This window comes from Homo sapiens, chromosome 4 (genome assembly GCF_000001405.40).
Source record: "Homo sapiens chromosome 4, GRCh38.p14 Primary Assembly".
Lineage (NCBI taxonomy): Eukaryota > Metazoa > Chordata > Mammalia > Primates > Hominidae > Homo > Homo sapiens.
Window position 1 is genome coordinate 147,799,535 of NC_000004.12, and position 20,337 is coordinate 147,819,871.

At 40.8% G+C, this 20,337-nt stretch overlaps 1 protein-coding gene and 1 pseudogene across 4 annotated transcripts in view, besides 1 other annotated feature; both read left to right on the plus strand.

Annotated features, from left to right (window-relative positions):
* ARHGAP10 (Rho GTPase activating protein 10) overlaps positions 1-20,337 on the plus strand; it is a 340,689-nt gene that overhangs the window by 67,447 nt on the left and 252,905 nt on the right. Inside the window, exon 1 of one of the 4 annotated variants that reach the window (XM_047416160.1) lies at positions 8,536-8,658. The exons of the other annotated variants lie outside the window; for them this stretch is intronic. The gene's annotated coding sequence lies outside the window, so the exon portion shown is untranslated. Of the gene's footprint in view, positions 1-8,535; positions 8,659-20,337 lie in introns of those variants that run through there. 4 annotated transcript variants of the gene reach the window in all.
* Positions 635-934: an enhancer, noted in NCBI's record as "active region_22010". NCBI's record gives its function as "activates an Ori minimal core promoter by ATAC-STARR-seq in GM12878 lymphoblastoid cells {active_cell/tissue: GM12878}" and the evidence as "EXISTENCE:reporter gene assay evidence [ECO:0000049][PMID:35858748]".
* On the plus strand, positions 9,392-9,675 carry RN7SL254P (RNA, 7SL, cytoplasmic 254, pseudogene; annotated as a pseudogene).

A 20,337-nucleotide genomic window follows, 5' to 3' on the forward strand; every position in this document is an offset into this window, starting at 1 on the left:
TAGAGTGAATTCTGTTGTCTTTCCTCAAGTTCAGTGATTTTTTTTATCCTGTCATTTTCATCCTACTATTGAGCATATCAAGTGAGTTTTTGTTACTGTACTTTTCAGTTGTATAATTTATATTTGGTTTTTAAAATAATTTCACTTCTGAGATTTTCTAGTTTCTCATTTGTTTCAACAGAATTTATAATTGATTATTGAAGCACTTGTAAGAGGGTTGCTTTAAAATCCTCATCAGATAATTTCAACATCTGATTTATCTCAGGGTTAGGGTCAGTTTTTTGGCTAAAATGGGAATTTGACTTGGGATTTTCCTGGTTCTTGGTATGGTGGGTGATTTTTGACTGTATTCTGGACATTTTGCCTATCTTTTTTTTGGGGGGGTGCGGGCAGTGGGAATGTTCTGAATCCCATTTAAATCTTTTGTTTTAGCAGGCAGCCACCCAGTTAGTCTTAGCACACAGGTCCTGCCCTACATTTGTGGGCTGTGGTTCCAATGACAGTTTAACTTTCAGAGCCTTTGTGGTGTTTGTCTGCTTGGTGGTTAGATGCCGCTAGGGCTGCCGTCTCATTTCCCCCTGCTGTTATTGCTGGCTGTGGAGGCAGAAGGGATTTCCCTAGGCTGGGCTACTAGGTGTCTCCCAGTGGGGGAAACGTAGTCTCAGGACCCTGGAGACTGAGGGACTTTCCTGACTGTGGCATAGTCCCCCTTCCTGTGGGGGACAGAGAGCTCTTGAGCCAGACACTTGTTGAGATGGAATCTCTCTACCTGTGCCCCACGGTTTTCCTCATGTCTGTGTGCAATGGAAGGGCGTCTTAGGCCCATGTGACCAGAGAGGCTTCCTGGGCCAGGTCACTTGTGGCTGGGGAGTCTTGTGTCTGCCCTATTGCATATGTCGAGGCTCCCCTAGTTATTGTTGGTGGGGCTTTAGGTTGGTCCTTCTTTTGGATGGTGTAGGACTTATCTGATGTGAGGGGGACTCGTGTTTGATCTGGGTCATAGGAATGAGCCTACCTGAGCTGCCTTTTGTTCTCATGTCATGGGTTGGGAAATGGTGGGTCTGGGTGACCACTTTGCATAGGGGGATGCAAGATACTGTTTCACTGAGCTGTTCTTCCATTTTTGGGGTCACAAACTGGTTTGTTTTCTTCTTACCATCTTTCAGAGTTCTCCTTTGGTTATCTCCTCTGCTATTTCCAGGGTTTATAGCGCTTAGTAGGGAGGAGCAGAGAGACATAGTTTTCTATGCTGTCTTGTGCCTTGTCATTCATTATTTTTTTCCTTTTTCTTTTTTGACACAGCGTCTTACTCTGTCACCCAGGCTGGAGTGCAGTGGCACAATCTTGTCTCACTGCAACCCACGCCTCGTGGGATTAAGTGATTCTTGTGCCTCCCAAGTAGCTGGGACTACAGGTGCCTGACACCATGCCTGGCTAATTTTTGTATATTTAGTAGAGACAGCGTTTCGCCATGTTGGCCAGGCTGGTCTTGAACTCCTGGCCTCAAGTGATCTGCCCACCTCTGCATTTGAAAGTGCTGAGATAACAGGCGTGAGCCACCGTGCCCAGCCTTATTCATTCTTAGATGTTGGAATTTTAAAAAGCAATGAAAAATGTCAGCAAAATTTAGCATTTATTTTTCTACGTTCAGTAAAACATATCTCTCAGGGGTCTTATGGAGGTAAGGAAACATGAGAACCAGTTAGGTTAAATGACTGGTCCTGGGGCTCTATTGGTCGTTAATTACAGAACACAGACTAGAGTTAGACTCCTCTTAATGAATCCACTATTTGTTTCTTTGTAGCAAACTAAGTTGAAGACTTCTCTATAAGAAAAGAGAAGAGAACCATTGCTGTGCTGTAATGCTCTGGGCTTTATAATGTTAACACACAAAATAATTTATATATCAAGTGGAAAACCTCTCAGAATACAGGAAAAGAATCCAGTGTTCAATTATATTAAGAGTGAATAACATGCTGTGTTTGTTCCAATTTTAGTATTCATCATTTTTTGTAAAGTGTAAAATAACATACCGTCTGTTTTTTACTATAAAACATTTGAATGGCCTTATAAAATGTTTCTTGCAAAAGAAAGTTCTCTCACTGGTTATCATCACCATTTGTATTATACTTCAAAGAGAGTAAAGAATATAATGAAGGTTGGTGGCACCACCCAAGCGAATTAATCTCATAGCTTAGCATTATGTGGGACTTTTCATCAGGTCATCGCTGTTTACTCCACAGACATCAGATACCTCTCAAAATAGTTCTCCATGAAGCTTTTTTTCCTCTGCTGCAGAGATGGAGAAATGGAGAAACCCAGAAGTTAACTGTTAAGTTGTTTGTAATGTTTTTTGAAGTCCCCAGGGATTTTACAGAAAATGGAGCCGGAGTTGAACTCATCCCAAAACTCTTTGGATGTCTGGGATGGGAGGCATTGATTTCTCTCCCTGAGGCACAGCAAGAACTAGGCAGAGTAAATAGGACTAAACACTGGCCCTGTTTAATGTCGCTTGAGTAATGATGCTTGAGTAATGATGACTGACAGGTCGGAGGAGTGGGGCGTATGAGGATGGACTGACTCTGTTTTTCTTCTTTCCATATGGACTTATTCCTTTTGCTTCTACTTTTGTTTTTCCTTCCTGTTCCCTACTTAATAGTCTTGCTGAAAAATATATCTGACCTGTATTGAAGAATGGAATTAAACATACTGGGTTTTGGAGAACTTTTCCCATCACTCATAGTAAAACTCCAACATAGGTGATCCATAGGCTAAAATGAGATGTTCAGAAGTTAGGGTGAAGCTTCTTAAAAAAGTGATAGTGTGATGATGGTTGATTTTGCAAACTTGTTTTCTCTAAAGCATAATATAGCTGAGCTATGATCCTAAAGGTAAGGTGGTAGGTAGTATTAATGCCAGCAATGTACTGACTGTTTACTGGCTCAGACTCAAAGACTGTTAGCATTGGGCAGGGCCCCCTTTGGACCATGTTTGTAGCCTCTCTGTCCTCAGCAGAGTGTCTCTACAATATAAATAGTGGTATTTGTGTCTCGTAGTTACTTGTAATGAAGCAGCCTGTTGTATTGCAGGTGGCCAGCTCTGCTTCGCAGGAAACCAGCTCTGCCTCCCTGTAACTTCTACTTACACTGGTTTTTTGTTGGGTCTCTAGGACCATGCAGGGTGAATCTAATAATTGTTCTTGTTAATATCTGTCAAAATTCAGAACAGATGTTGTGACTTTACCTTCTCAAAGTTGTTTCTCATCAATCTTGAAGACTCCTTATCCTGCTGTTTTCTGCATGTTCTGTTTTGCCGGTATCCCTTCAAAATGTGGTCCTCCAAATGAAACATGGTGCCCCCAAAGTTTTGGAGAACTCCTTTGCTGTGTGGAAGTGCGGACTGTGACATGTAAGGGTTTGGGGTCTGTAAATTCTATTTATCAACCTCTCTCCACTTTTTTTCCCTTAGTTTTGTTTATTGCTTTTTTTTTTTGAGATGGAGCCTTGCTCTGTTGCCCAGGCTGGAGGGCAGTGGTGTGATCTTGGTACACTGCAACCTCTGCCTCCTGGGTTCAAGCGATGCTCATGCCTCAGCCTCTCAAGTAACTGGGATTACAGGTGTGCACCACAATGCCAAGCTGATTTTTGTAATTTTAGTAGAGATGGGGTTTCACCGTGTTGGCCAGGCTGGTCTCGAACTCCTGGCCTCAAGTGATTCACCCGCCTTGGCCTCCCAAAGTGCTGGGATTACAGGCATGAGCCACTGCATCCAGCCTATTTATTTTTCTTTTTTTATTGATACATAACTGTACATGTTTATGGGATACATGTGATATTTTGATACATGCATACAATGTGTAATGATCAAATCAGGGTAATTGGGATATCTATTGCCTCAAACATTTATCATGTGCTTTGGGAACATTTCATATCTTTTCTTGTTATTTTGAAATATTTTTAATTATAGTCAGCCTTCTGTACTGTCAAACACTAGAAGTTATTCCTTCTGTCTAACTCTGTTTGTACCCATTAGCCAACCTCTTTATTGCCCCTCTCCCATGCTTCCCTACCTCTGGTAACCACCATTCTTCTCTCTACCTCCATGAGGTCAACTTTATTGGCCCACACATTTGAGTGAGAACATGTGATACTTGTCTTTCTGTGTGTGGCTTGTTTTACTTAATATAATGACCTCCAGTTCCATCCATGTTGCTGTAAATTACAGCATTTTATTCTTTTCTGTGGCTGAATAGTATTCCATTATATCTATCTATAGACCATGTTTTCTTTATCCATTCATCCATTGATGGACACTTAAGTTAATTCTATGTTTTGGCTGTTGTGACTACTGCTGTAGTAAACATGAGGTGTGCAGGTTTCCCTTTGATATGCTGATTTTCTTTGCCTTGGATAAATATTCGATAGTGGGAATGCTGGATCATATGGTAGTTGTATTTTTAGTTTTTTTTTTTTTTTTCTTTCAGGTTCAGGGGTACATGTGCAGGTTTGTTATATAGGTAAACTGTGTGTCACGGGGGTTTGGTGTACAGATTATTTTGTCATCCAGGTAATAAGCATGGTACCCAATAGGTAGTTTGTTTTTGATCCTCACCCTCCTCCTACCCTCCACCCTCAAGTAGCCCCCCAGGTCTGTTGTTCCCTTCTTTGTGTCCATGTGTAGTCAGTGTTTAGCTTCCACATATAACTGAGAGCATGCTATATTTGGTTTTATGTTCCTGCATTTGCTTAGGATAATGGCCTGCAGCTCCATCCATGTTGCTGCAAAGGACATGATGGTGTTCTTTTTTTTATGGCCATATATTATTCCATGGTGTATATGTACCACATTTTCTTTATCCAGTCTACTGTTGGTGGACATCTAGGTTGATTCCCTATCTTTGCTATTGTGAATAGTGCTGCGATGAACATAAATGTATGTGTGTCTTTATGGTAGAATGATTTCTATTCCTCTCTGGGTATATACCCAATAATGGGATTGCTGGGTCAAATGGTAGTTCTGTTTTAAGTTGAGAAATCTCCAGACTGGTTGAACTAGTTTATATTTCCATTAGCAGTGTATAAGTGTTCCCTTTTCTCCACAGCCTTGCCAGCATTTGTTATTTTTTGACTTTTTGGTAGCCATTGTGACTGATGTGAGATGGTATCTCATTGTAGTTTTGATTTGCATTTTTCTAATTATGAGTGGTGCTGAGCTTTTTTTTATATGATTGTTGGCCACATGTATGTCGTCTTTTGAAAAGTTCTTGTCCTTTGCCCACTTTTTAATGAGGTTGTTTTTTGCTTGTTAATTTAAGCTCCTTATAGGTTCTGGATATTAGACCTTTGTCAGATGCATAGTTTGGAAATATTTTCTCCTATTCTGTGGGTTGTCTGTTTACTCTGTTGATAGTTTCTTTTTGCTGTGCAGAGGCTCTTTTGTTTAATTAGGTCCCATTTGTCAATTTTTGTTTCTGTTGCAGTTGCTTTTGGCATCTTCATCATGAAATCTTGGCTAGGTCCTCTATCCAGAATGGTATTTCCTAGGTTTTCTTCAAGAGTTTTTACAGTGTCAGGTTTTACATTGAAGTCTTTAATTCATCTTGAGTTAATTTTTGTATATGGAGTTAGGAAGGGGGTCTAGTTTCAGTCTTCTGCCTATGGCTAGCCAGTTGTTCCAGCACTGTTTACTGAATAGGGAGTCCTTTCCCCATTGTTTGTTTTTGTTGACTTTGCCAGAGATCAGATGGTTGTAGGTGTGAGGCTTTATTTCTGGGCTCTCTATTCTGTTCCATTTGTCTGTGTGTCTTTGTACCAGTACCATGCTGTTTCGGTTACTGTAGCCATGTTGTACAATTTGAAGTCAGGAAATGTGATACCTCCAGCTTTATTCCTTTTGCTTAGAATTGCTTTGGCTATTCAGGCTCTTTTTTGGTTCCATGTGGATTTTAGAATAGTTTTTCTAATTCTATGAAGAATGTCAATGGTAGTTTGATAGGAAGAACATTGAATCTGTAAATTGCTTTGGGCAATATGGCCATTTTAACAATATTGATTCGTCATATCCCTTCTCTTCATTTTTTAAAAAACTAGTTCTTAGAAAACCAAAGCAAAATAATAATTTATAATTTAAATTAGGCCAGGCATAGTGGCTCACACCTATAATTCCAGCACTTTGGGAGGCTGAGGTAGGAGGATCACTTGAGATCAGAGTTTACGGCAACAGTGAGCTATGATCACACCACTGCATCGTGGGCAACAGAGCAAGACCCTGTCTCTTTAAAAAGATATAAAAAAGGTAAATTAACTATCTTACTCATGTAATATTGCATACAGTGTGGATAACACGCCTATGAAACTTTATGCTAACACAAAGGGCTAATAATCCCAAACTGTCTCAAATTTAAGATTATTTACTCTCCAACCCTGAAGGCTAAAAAGAAGCCCATGTTTGTACTTATACAATATTTTCCACCCAATGAGCCCTTTATTATAATAAAATTTTTATTTATAAAATCCATACTTTAAGCCTTTTGTTTATATTTATTTAACTCACAAGAACTACCATGCACACATACTGACGGAGCTGAGTGACTGAATCCAGGCAGGGCAGATTTGCAATGCTGAGAGCTCTCCCCACCCATCTTACCACCTCAGTGTCCAGAGTCCAGGCGGCTTTCCAGGTCGGATCAAATTTACTCTAAATTTGTCTAAATCGGCTCTCCAGACATTATAGTTACATATATCTATTATCTCACTTTTCATAATGTTAGTCTCATTTAGACTTTTGTGTTAGTTTGTCCAAAAGTGTTTCAATACCAGATTATAGTAATGCCAGATTATAGTAATCAGATAACATATATTATTATATATGAATATTGTATAATATATAATTCATTATTAATATAATCTGGCATTATATAGTACCAGATTAAGTAATCAGGGGCTTTTTTTCTGTTTTTGGGGGGGCGGGGGATGGAGTTGCTGCTTATAGATCAATGCCTGTCTGAAGACTGTTGCTTATGATAAGGAGTTTGCTGCTTTCATCAAGAAAGTATTGCTGTGGGAAAATGTTAGTTAAACTAAACAAAGGTGCTTAGTGACTTGGTTAATTTACATTCTATACAGATTCCTTGTCTGGCAGGTACCCTGTGACAAACCCTTCAGGCGCCAGCATATTATCTTTTTTGAGACAAGATGTCATTCTGTTGCCCAGGCTGGAGTGTGGGGATGCCATCATAGCTCACTACAACCTTGAATTCTTGGCCTTAAGTGATCCTCCTGCCTCAGCCTCCTGAGTAGCTGGGACCACAAGTGTATGCCATCCTGCCCAGCTAAAGGGGCCAACATTTTGAATAGCATTGCCTGTAGGTGCCACGAAACTGCCCCTGCCACCCAGTTCTAAGAAGTAGATCCATTGGTTTTCCAAGTCTCTAGTAAGCGTGAAACCCGGTGAAAGGATGCTACGCCTAATTCATATGTCAAATTAAACCTAACAGCCCAGTGCCATTTAGTGTGGGGGCAGGTAATTCTGCTGAACAGTTTGAGAATGAAACTTTGAAAATGGCAAGGTCATGAGTTAGGAATTGGAGAGACCTGGCTTTGATTCTGGTTTTACTGTGTGACATATTTTGCTTCCCTTGAGGTCTGTTCCCACCCCCCAATTCATGAAATGGAGACATAAGATCTACCTTGTAGGATTTCTAAGGATTAGGAATGATTTTTATATGAAATATCCTGCATAACAGTAGATGCTTACTATTGTTAAGAATTTTGAAATGATAATTAAAGCTCTAAAAAAGAAAAAATATAGGTGATTGTATTAGGTAATAAAAAGTATGACATGAAACTATTGTTCAAAAGGTGATACAAGAAGAAAAAGGAACAGAAGAACTTATATTCCAGAATTATTTTTTTTTTAAATGTAGGAAAATTAGAAAATTAAAGAGAATTTTTCTGAAATGGTCAGGAACGTAAAGAGGTCGGTGTATTTTAAGTGTGTAAGTGACAGAAGGAATTGCCTTCTTCAAAATAATGGAAAAACATTTGACTACCTAAAAATAGAGAGTTCAAAAGCATAATCCAAAAAAAGGCCATAAAGAGGAAAATATTTGAAACCAAATTATTATATATCAAACTTGTAATAGAGCAAATAAAGACTGTATATCAATGGCATTTTATACCAGAGACATAATTGTAATCAAATAAGAAAAAAGCACACAAAATCAATTTTGAAAAAAGTTGAACAAATAGAGTAATGAACCCCATATCACTTGGTGACTAGAGGATGCTAGCAGTCTCCTGCCTAGTGTCCTTTGAACTGGAGCCTGAATTGTATTAATGGTCCAGAAAAAGTTCATGAAGGTCCTCGTCCTCCTTTGGTTGTATGGGTGTATAGGGGAAGAGAGAATCAATGATGAAGTTAAATCCAGAGTATCAGTAATAAAAAGGTAACGGGAAAATGTGCTTTATAGGCATGTGGATCTTTGTTCAATGAATAATTATTTCTTACATGTCTTTTTGTGGTCTTTTCAGTAATCTACCGATTTAGAATCAAAGCTAGTTGAAGTTAGAAAGTATGGATCACACATCCTGCCACTGTGTGCATCTACTTTATATACAACTAACAACTGTGGGACCCCAGTTACAAAGGCTGTCGGAGGTGAGCCCACTGAGAGCTGGCAGGGGGTTTCTTATGCAGGTTGTATGTGGGTTTTGGAGAAGGTGAGAGAAGTGCATTCTAGGAGGAAGGCAGAGCATGTACAAAGACTGCAAGGAAGGAAAAAACTTTGGCATTTTTTTTTTTTTCCAGGAACAGAAGGGAGGCTGTTGAAGCTGGAGTTAGGTTAGCTTAGGGGTTGATGAGGCTGCAGAGTGAGCAGAGGTCAGATCATGCAGGGTCTTTCAGGCTCTAGGAAGGAATTGGATTTTATCCTGAATACAACAGAATGATACTGAAGGTTTTAAGCAGGGGAGTAAGGAGATCCAATTCATATTTTAAGTTAAGTTTTGCTGCTGTGTGGGAGTTGGGTTGGAGGAAAGAGTGGGAGCAGAGTAATGTGTTCACAGTGGAGATAGAGAAGTGAGCAGATCCGTGGGATGTTTGCATGTAGAGTGAATGTGTAGGGGGTTAAGGGAAAGGCAGGAATCAAGCATGATTTGTCATAGAATGATTTCTTGCCAAAAATGACAACCTAAAAACATTTGGCATTTTGGAGCATTCTCAACTCTGGGCCCCCTCTGGTTCTGCACTCTTCTAGGACCTCATTTTAGCTGCCTTTTCTCCCTCTGCCCCCTCCCTTCTGTTCTGCTCTCCATTTGTGTCTCCTTCTTAGTTTAATTCTCTATTTTCAACTCTAGATTTCCTCTACTTTTTCCTTTTAAAAACTATTCTTGCCAGCTGCCCTGGTGGCACCTGTTGTCCCAGCTTCCCAGGAGGCCAAGGCAGGAGGATCTCTTGAGCCCAGGAGTTCCTGGCTGTAGTGTAGTGTGCGATGTTAATCAGGTGTCTGCACTAAGTTTGGCATCAGTATGGTGACCTCTTGGGAGCCTGAGGAGGAGCCAACTGGCCCAGGTCAGAAATGGAGCAGGTCAAAACTCCTGTGCTGATCAGTATAGCATCATGCCTGTGAATAGCCACAGCACTCCAGCCTGGGCAACATAGCAAGACCTCGTCTCTATAAAAAACAAAACACCATTCCTTATTTAATTTTAATCACCTTTCTTCAAATAATCGACAGTCAAAATTTCTGGCCCTGACCTCTATCTGCAGCCGTTTGTGGAATTTGTGTAGTTAATCTGCTGCATTCTGAAATAGCTAACATGCATTTTTTTTCTTGATCTTAAATTAGCTTCCTCTCTTGACTTCCCTTTTTCTTTTTAATGGTTCCACCAATCTTTGTCATCCAGACAGGATAACTTAGTAATATTTGATTCATTATTTTCCTTCACTGCAATTCAACATGTAAACTCCAATATTGGTTCTAGGTTGTTGATGAAGAAACTAAAGCTCAGAAGCATTGTCACCTGCCCAGAGTCACACAGCTGGTCACTGGTGACACGGGTTTGTGAGCCCCACTCTGACTTCAGACCCACATTCTCAATCATTGCACTATACTGTACACCAGCGGTCCCCAACCTTTTCGGCACCAGGGACTGGTTCCATGGAAGACAGTTTTTCCATGGATTGGGTTGGGGGATGGTTTTGGGATGACTCAAGTGCATGACATTTATCATTAGATTCTCATAAGGAGTGTGCAACGTAGATCCCTCACGTATGCATAGTTCACAATAGGGTCACGCTCCTCTGAGAATCTAATGCCCCTGCTGATCTGGGACCCAGGGCTTGGGGACCCCTGCTATACGCCAAGGAGATTTAGGATAACGCTTTTCCAAAAGATACCTAACTTTACTTTGTTTTTAATATATGCTAAATTTTAAGGTTGAGACTACTGCTATTAACAACTGTCATTCTATTATTTAGTATTTTCTCTATAAGTATGTCACATATAGTATCTCTTTATAGAGATTTTCAATTTCTTATAGCAGCTTATTTACATTCACCCTTTTTGAGCGGGAAGAAGAAAGGAGTGATATTGAGTGGTGGGCACAAGATTCTCCCTTTTTTCTTCCCTACCATTACAGGCGAGAGATCATTTACCCTTGCTCCTGCAAATACTGTTTCATTGTTCGAAACATAGTTGGCCATCTGGCAAAAACTGTTATTTAAAACTTGCATTCTTTTATTACTAGTGAAGTTGGAAACATTTTTTGGTGTTTACTAGTGATTTCTATTTATTTTGTGAATTGCATTCATTGTTCACAGTTAACATTATCCCCATTATTATCATTGGCCCTTAGCTCTGAAACTTGGTAGAGATGAATTAAAAGGTGCAACCAGTCTTCTAACTTCTGCATCAGAAATTGGGTTGAAGATGTCTTACATGAACCTGTGGCTTCTGAGTATTTAACAAACTTTTATATTAACCATCTGAACGTTTACATCTCATCTTTAATACAAATTCTGGAAGTGGTGGTGCAGAGTTGCCAGTCTGAGAGATTCAGGCTCAGCTGGAGAATGTGTTGGGCCTGAAGTAACACAACTGTAAACCTATTTGTGGAGAACCTAAATGCACATACAGTGATTTGCCTCCACATCAAAGACCTCTCTGTAGTGCCTTAGGGTATGGTGAGGGCAGTAGTCCAGATAGAGGGCCCTCAGTGACTGTCCCATCTTTTAGAACAGAGCCCACAGGGTTGGGTTCTTGCAAGATCTATCTGGGGAATCTTCCTAAAGCCATCATGACAGGGTCTGTCACTTCATTAACTCAACAAATACTAATTGAGCATCTACTCTGTGCCTCATTTTGTTCTAGATCCTGTGGTTATGGCAGTGAACAAAATGAATAGAAATATCCCTGACCTCAGAGTTTCCCTTCGGGGACAAGTTTAGCTCCCCTGGAGGCTCTCCATACTTGACTTTCTCAAGTCTAACTCTTTCTTTGCTTCCTAGCTCCTCGCCTTAATCCTCTTTTTCCTGTGGCCCTTAGATCAAGCCTGGCTTCCTCTTCATTTTCAGTGTTCTGCTACTAAGTTCAACAGCTTCTGTTAATAAGGGACTTCTTTTATTCCTGGCTTCACCATGTCCTAGCTGCAACCCTCAGTCCCACCCAAGTCAGACTGGTAAGTGCGGGCCCCAGGCCCCCAGTGTCCTCTTGTGAGAATTCTCTTTGTCTTCTAGTAGCTCCTCGTTGGAATACTGGCCATTCTTTTAACACATTGGCTTCTGAAATAAGTGTAGAACATGTGTGAACCCACTGTGTATATTGGGGTTCACTGCTCCCTAGGGAGTTTGGTCTACCTGAGGCATGTGATTTGTGTAGATCCTCAAGTAACAGCCCAGGGATGACAATCTTGACTTGTAAGCATGGCCACATTATCCTGCAGCCCTGACTGTCCTGATAATTGGGTACCATCCATTCTTTTTGTTTTACTTAAAAGCAGTTTATGCTCAGTGAAGAATATTTGAAAAATACTGACAAATATGCAATGGCTTTTTTTAAAAAAAAAAAACAAAAAACAAAACACTGGTTAAGGTTTTCTTTTGAGGGGGGAGCTTACCTTCTAAACAGCTGTTTTATGTGCAACTGCATACTTTTCTCCTGCTTTCATTGATGTTTTACAAGTTGACATTTGTGTCTTATCTGTAACCTGCTTGCAGATTGGTCGCTAGCCACTTGCAGAGTGCAATTAACAAGAGTGAGCTCCGATATAAAGATGGTGATTTATTTCCAAAGCTAGCTTAGAGGAAGAAGCACAGGTGTCCCACCTCCAAATGTACCCCTTAGCTTTTGGAGCAGAAAGTGGGCACTTTTAAAAGTCAAGGGAGGGTGTAAGCAAGGTGGGGGATACCTGTGTTAGCTTGGTGCCTTATCAACGAGGCGGCTGAGCTGGTGACTGCTGGGGTCTTCATGGGTGTGACTAGGCCCTAAACCCCTCAGGTGGGAGAGAGTAGTGGGAATGTTTTTCGACTGTTCTCTCGAGGCAACCTCCTGATGGGTGAGAGTTGCATAGCAGGCATGCCTTGGTCTGTAAATTGACTAACTCTCGAGGACTTGGATGAACTTAGTAGGGAATGGCTGGTGAAGGAGGGAGTAAAAAGCTATTTTTTAGCATTTCTAAAAGGCTGCGTAGGAAGTGGGGAATGAAAAAAAGAAAACATCTCTTTGAAAAATGGGGTACTTGGTTACATATTTATGTAACACCTTCTCCCTCTTTGAACACAGCTAGTTTTCAGGAGGTCCAGGCCCGTGTCAGTATGCTCTAGGGTGCTGTGGATGATGTTGATTCTGGGGTCTAGCTTGACCTTGCTTGTGAGGAATACTTCACAGACCTCACTACCCAGCCAGCACATTCATTTTCTAACAGCCACATTTCCAGATTTCCTTTCCTTCCTTCTTTCCTCCTGTTGGCTTTGTGTTCCTCAGTGTAGCTCTCCGTTTCCTTCCAGTCTTCCTGGGAACTGTTCCTTCCCCAGGAGCTGCCCATAAAGCCTTTTCCCCACCTCTGCTTCTTTCTTCTCTTCTAATATTTCAACATAGTCAAGATATTTTGATTATTCACATACATTTTACAAGGACATTGTAAAGAAAGGGCTTTGTGGCCCAACTGTGGTCTGAGCAGTGTTTGTTCCCCACACCGAGGCAGCATATTTTGATGGTTTAGACTGAGAACTGAACCCAGGACCCAAAGCCTGGCTTTACCATTTAATGTGATCTGACTTCTGTGCCCCTTCTTATGCTTGTCTCTAAAATACAGTGTGAAAATGTCCATGTAATTTGTTATAGTGAGCATTAAATGCACTAGTACATGCAGAGTACTCACTTGGAGCAGCGACTGGCACAAAGGGAGTGTTAAATAAATATTAGATGGTTATTGCACATACTTAACCTGCTTGGAAGCACTGGTGTGAAACAATTTTCCAGTTAATAATGAGTGTTCAAATTTCTTTATGTTGAACACAGTTCCTTATGTTTCAGTGGCCCATCTCATGGACTCAGGTACTGCCTGTTGCAATTTTTTACATGGATTGGTTTCTGCCTTTAGGAGCCTTTTTTTTTTTTAAATAAAAGAATTGTATGTGTTAATGTAGTAAAGTCTTCAAACATAATTTTGGCCTTTAAGGGATGTTTTTATACTCACTGGCCTATACCCGAGTTGTCACTCATGGCCTCTGCTAGCTACTTCACAGCTCCTGTGAAGGACACTGCTCTGCCCACAGCCCCTGCTGGGGAGAAAGCTCTCTGAGGACTGTGTCCTCCCTCTTCTCCTTTTCCTGGGGTGGCTGATTTGATTGGGATGGGACACCAGATAGCTACCTCTGTCATGGCCTTCCGTGGGAAAAACATGAGCCAAGCCAATTTGATTCTCTTGAGAATTTTAATTTAGGAAATCAGAAGGAAAAAGCCGTGGGAGCCGAAATTGAAAGAATGCCATGAACTAATGGCATGAGGACAGGCCTGCCAGGCAGTGACATGGCAGCAAACCCAGAGTCTGACAGCAAGAATTAATAGAAGTAGAAGAGAAGATGTGACAATTGCACGCGACAGAGAAAACTAAACACACAGAGAGAAGCCAAGTTAGGTTAATGGCAGAGGCCCAGGGAGAAGATCTCAGACATAGCTGTACTGTGAGTTTTTTCTCAAAGCAAGTTGCTCACATGTTTTCCTGGTCTCTTCGTAATTGTATTCTCATTATTTAAGGCTTTGCATTCAAAAGGTCCTAACTTAACAGCAGCTATATAGCATATGTAGTCCTTTCCTTTCCCATCGAAAGGATTACTCTCATTTTGTTCTTATTGCCTTAATACCTCTTCTGCAATTTAAAGTGATATAAATTTAACTCACTTTTTAGTACTATCTTCAAGTCTCCATATTCCATGCTGTGTTTTCCTGATAGCAGTAATTTATTTTCTTCTTTTTTTTGGAATATGTCTTCTATTGCACTCCTGTGAAATTTGCAAATCTGGACCCCTCCGTTCCTATGCAACACGGGCTGGTGATTTCTCTCAGATCTAGGGCATGGACTCCTTAGGGCAGCAGCCTCACCCTCTTTGTATTCGTACAGCACCATGGGCTGTGCTGAGCAAGTGATAGATGCCCAACAAGTCGTTGGTCGTTTCTTGTGGTTCATTTAGTTCTTATCATCGTGGCTTGTCTTGGATCACAAAAGAGGATGTTTTAGCCCTTTGCTAGGATGCATCTTTTTTTTTTTTTCCAAGCTTTAAATTTATTTGAAGGAAAATAAATATTAAAGAATTTGAGAGAAATGAGGGAGTTATACAGTAACTGTTGGCTTTGATTGGGAACTAAGTTTCTCATTTGTGCCGTGAATGTTGTTACTCCAATGGCAGAGGAGTGAACAAACTCATTTGTTAAGCGAGATGAACACCTGACAGCTAAATCCCTACTAATATTTGCTTTGGGCCCTAAGTGTATTCTGTGGTTAACAAGGTAACTTGTCTTGACATTACTCCCACATGTGGGAGTGTTTTTCTTTTGGTATTCCCTTTCTTAGCATATTTGGGAAACCACTTTATTTGCCAAGTTACTATATTTGCTACCAAAATGTTTGAATAATGCTGTGTTTTGTCATTGAGCGTAACTTCCATGATCTTTAAAAACAATGCTTTGAAATAGTGTTCTCATCTGTATATTGTTTCTCTTGTGTCCTAATTTCTTCTTTTTATAAGAACACAAGTCATATTGGAGCAGGGCCCATTCTTAATGACCTCATTTTAACTGATTACTTCTGTAAAGACCCTAGTTCCAAATAAGGACACATTCTCAGGTTCTGGGGGTTTGGATTTCAGTATATAAATTTGGGGAGAACACAGTTCAACCCATAATACAGAGGAACCACCACCCTACTAATTACCATAGCACCCATTAAACCAGGCTTTCTTGGCGTCGAAGCCAAGAAGCTTAAAAGATTTGTTTGCCCCTAGAGTCCACAGTCATTAGGTTGAGACTTCTGAGTCTCACTAGGTGTTGGCATAGTTACCAGAAAATCCTTAAAGGACCCTCCTCATCTCTCACCTGGATCAGGACAGGAGCCTCCTAACTTGTCACCCTGCTGCCGCCCTTGTCCACCTTCAGTCTGCTCTCAACACATCTCTGGGTTCCACTACTTCCTGGTTGTATGACCTTGGGCAAGTTGGGTAACCTGTGTCTGTGTCCTCTTCTGTTGTAGTGATAGTTAACCGAATCTACAAACGTAAAGTGATTAGTAGAGTACCTGATGTTATAAGGTGTGGTAGCCAGAATGGTGGCCCTCCAGTGATGTCCTGTCCTAATCATCCCTGGAACCTGTGAATATGTTATTTTACATGGCAAAAGGGACTTTCAGATGTGATTAAAGACCCTGAGATTATTGGCCGGAGGCGGGGGGCGGGGGGAGGAGGTTATCTTGGATTATCGTAGGGCCCATTGTAATCACAGTGGTCCTTAAAAGAGAGAAGAGATGTGATGACAGAAACAAAGGTCAGGCTGGGCACTGTGTCTCACACCTGTAATCCCAGCACTTTGGAGGGCCAAGGCAGGGGGATCACTTGACCCTAGGAGTTCAATACCAGCCTGGGCAATGTAGTGAGACCCCATCTCTACAAAAAATAAAAAAATAGGCGATAGGCGTGGTGGTGGTGGTTTCATGCCTGTAGTCCCAGCTACTCAAGAGGTTGAGGTGGGAGTTTCTCATGAGCCCAGGAGTTCAAGGCTGCAGGGAGCTATGATAGTGCCACTGCACGCTAGTCTAGGTGACAGAGTGAGACAGTCCTGCTGACACCTTGATTTTAGCCCCATGAGACTTCCCCCATTTTAGACTTCTGACCTCCAAAAACTGTTAGATAATAAGTTAGCGTTGTTGTAAGCCACTGCATTTGTGGCAATTTGTTACTACAGCAATAAGAAATGAATACGTAAGTGTCAGCTGTTTTATCTGGTTTTCCTGTTCCTACTGTAAATGAGATTTTCTTTAAACAGAGGAATCTGTGGCCAAAGACAGTTGGAAAATGAGTGGGCTAGGTGGTCGCCAGCATTCTCGTCCTATCTCCCATCCTGATGTGGCAGGTACTCTCTCCAGACAGTGCCTAGCCCCAGTAGTTTCTCAGCATTTGTGGAATGTTTAGGGAAGGCTGGATGGTGGTCTCCAGTGTGGAGCTGCCTGTGGGATTCTCTCCAGTCCCCACATCACTCCTGAAGGATTCTTCATAATTATTTGGCTATTTTGGTGTTTGGTTGTCTGTCATGTGCAATATTGGCCTTGAGCTCTGTGCTCCAGGTTTATGGGTTTCTTTTGGGGCCTATGCACCTTTGTGGGCTCTCCTTGTTTTCCTTTTACTCCATAAATTTGTCACTTCAAGTCATTCAAGTGACTTCAGATGTGTATTCTGTGATAAGAATTCATTACACAGACACCCCAGGCAAGCTGGACTCAGAGTTAGGGCCAGGAATGCTTTACCAGAATAGAGCCAGAGACAATGTTGGCCCATGAGCTGCTTCTGGAACAGCCTGTGATTTGGCCTTTAGGCCTAACCTAGCCCTGTGATGCATTCTGGGCTTATGAGTTGTTTGCAGCATTTTTTAAATCTAAAAAATGAGTTAGTTATTTGCTTTATTTTTTAACCTGTACAGAGAAGCCATAATGCCATTTTTGCATATAGTACCACTGCTGGTTTTGTAAAACAGGAAAACGTGAAGGAAAATATGAAGCTAGTCTACAATCCTAGAGGAATTTCATTTCACTTCCAAGTTACTTGGATTAATGTCAACATTATTTCACTGGCATGAAGGGTACTAAATTCTTAGAGTCTGTACCCTGTTCCTCTTTAGATAAAACATGAAAGAATTTTGGTGCGTGTTTTGATGTGCAGAGTCAGGGGCAGCTCCCTCAGCAGACCTTTGCGTAGTTGATAATCTAATTATGTGGCTCTCTACATAAAGAATATGAGCTTCCAGGTGCAATTTGTCTATTTTAAAAAGGGCTATGGAATCTATTATGATTTATAAAGAATCTTGTATTCAGATTTAATGAGTGACAAGAGTATATTTATTAACCATACCCTTTTTCTTTTCAAGCCCAGGATTATAGAACATGCTGCATTTCTAAAAGCATCCCCATTAGTGCTTTCGTTGCTGGGGTGGGAAGTTGTAGGAGTTAATAGTGACAACTTCATGACGAGGGCTCAGGCTTGTAACTTAAGGGGTTATCCTGCACTGACAGTGCTGCCTAGATGGGCAGTCAAGGTAGGGTGACCCAAACAGAGATGCTCCCCATCCCCCCAGCAGAGTGTCTGTTTGTCTAATATCTCATGGTCTTAACTAAAAATTGTTGATAAATAGGTGGCTCTGCTATAAGAAATAATTTTCTCAGTTGTAGAATCAAGGACAAGCAGTGGCAGTTCAGGCCAGAATCTGGAGGCTGTCCACACCTGAATTCAAAACGAGGTTGGCTCTCTCCATGTGGTATCCTACCTCTCAAACTCAGCACATCTCAAATATAACCCCTCATCTCTCAAACTGCTCCTAACCCTGGGAAGAATTAGATCACCTACATTGTCTCTCCTATTTGCCTGTGGATCAAGACACAAAAATTCAAGTCTGGAAGACTCTGAAGTGGCAAGTTCATTTGAAGGGTGCAGGTCACATTCATTCTTTTATGTTAGCTGTGCTTTTTGTGCACAGTCAGACTTGGCATTATCCACCAATATATAACAGCCTTGAGGGTATCTCAAGAGCAGTATTAATTCACAATACTCAGGAATTAGCAGGCAGAAGAGAATAGGGGGCATGGAGTTACAAATAAATGATTTTTCCATTTAATTGCAATTCTGCACTAGAGTCATTTAGAGAGCCTGATGGTTTCACACCAGTTGAGATCTGGGCAAAAGGACCTGGGAATAACGTGAAATCTCTTGAAAGATTGAATGGTGTAATGGAAAGGACATTGGTGGGAGTCTGAGAAACCAGGGAGTTGATCCTTTGCCTCCAGGACTTATTACCAGCAGTGTAAAGAGGTCTGTGACTTGACTGAGTCACTAAACTATCTCTGAACCTATTTTTTTTTCTTCTTCTTTTTCTTTTTTTTTTTTTTAAAGGTAACAGCAACACCTACCCTGCTGGTGTATTAAGAATAATTGAAATAATATTTGTAAGTCAATTAGCGTAGAGCAGGCGCTCAATAAAGGTTAGTTGGTTAGGCTGGGCGCGGTGGCTCACGCTTGTAATCCCATCACTTTGGGAGGCCGAGGCAGGTGGATCACCTGAGGTCGGGAGTTCAAGAGCAGCCTGACCAACATGGAGAAACCCCATCTCTACTAAAAATAAAAAAATTAGCTGGGGGTGATGGCATATGCCTGTAATTCCAGCCACTTGGGAGGCTGAGGCAGGAGAATTGCTTGAATCCGGGAGGCGGAGTTTGCGGTGAGCTGAGATCTTGCCATTGCATTCCAGCCTGGGTGACAAGAGTGAAACTGTCACCAAAAAAAAAAAAAAAAAAAAGTTAGTTTGTTAGTTTCCTCTATTCTCCCTGCCCTGCATCTAACCCAGGCAGAGATGTTGCTGGTCTTTGTAACTAACTTAGTCAGAAACTGCTTGAGTTTTATGTGCAATGATATTGGAAAGAAAATACATTTAATGGACTGCATTAAGTTTAGCAAACTGCCTTATGCTTTTGTTTTGAAAAGAAGAAGACATCTATAAAATATGAACTGCATGGGAAAATAAATTTAAAATGTATAAAGTAATGGAAAGGAAATTACATTTATAATTATTAAAAGAAATAGAATATGGTGTGGTCAGATTTTTAACAGTGGAAATTTTGCATAATGAACTCTGGTAAAACCCTAAGAGGAGATCACCAGAAAGGGGAAAATGAGTGATAGAAATGCTTATATTTTAAAATGAAGAAATGATATAACTATAATTCTTAGCACAGGTACAAAGCATGCTCTTTACATAGGGAGAAATACATCAGATTAGTTATGCAAATGAGCCCCAATTTAATCTGTTACAAACATTTTCAACTAATGAAATTAGGCATGAAATGCTGAAAAATTGGTGCATTTCAGTTTTAACTTTCCAGAGAACCTACTATTCTGACCATATGAAACACCATCTTTAAAATAACCTGCAGCCTTTGATCTAGTGATTTTGGATAAAATAATGAAACAGCTCCAATGGAAGACTATATAGCTTATGCCAGTCTATTCATAGCAATATATAAAAAATACATAGGTAAGTAAATATAAACAAACATGTTCGTATATATTATGTGTAAATGTGCACATATAAACAAGATCCTGTTGCGATCTGGCAAAGCAAACAGCAAAATAGAATAATGTGTATGTGACTACTAAAAATTATAAGCCCACAAACTATCAGTATTTGGAAATAGGTACATGAAATAAAATCATCCTATTATATCTTTTTTTATTTTTATTTTTATTTTATTATTTATTTATTTTATTTTATTTTTTCTTGAGATGGAGTCTCGCTCTGTCACCCAGGCTGGAGTTCAGTGGCGCTGTCTCAGCTCACTGCATGCTTCGCCTCCCGGGTTCCTCCCGGGTTCACACCATTCTCCTGCCTCAGCCTCCTGAGTAGCTGGGACTACAGGTGCCTGCCACCACGCCTGGCTACTTTTTGTATTTCTAGTAGAGATGGGGTTTCACCGTGTTGGCCAGGTTGGTCTTGAACTCCTGACCTTAGGTGATCCGCCCGTCTCGGCCTCCCAGAGTGCTGGGATTATAGGCCTGAGCCACCGTGCACAGCCTATTGTATCTTAT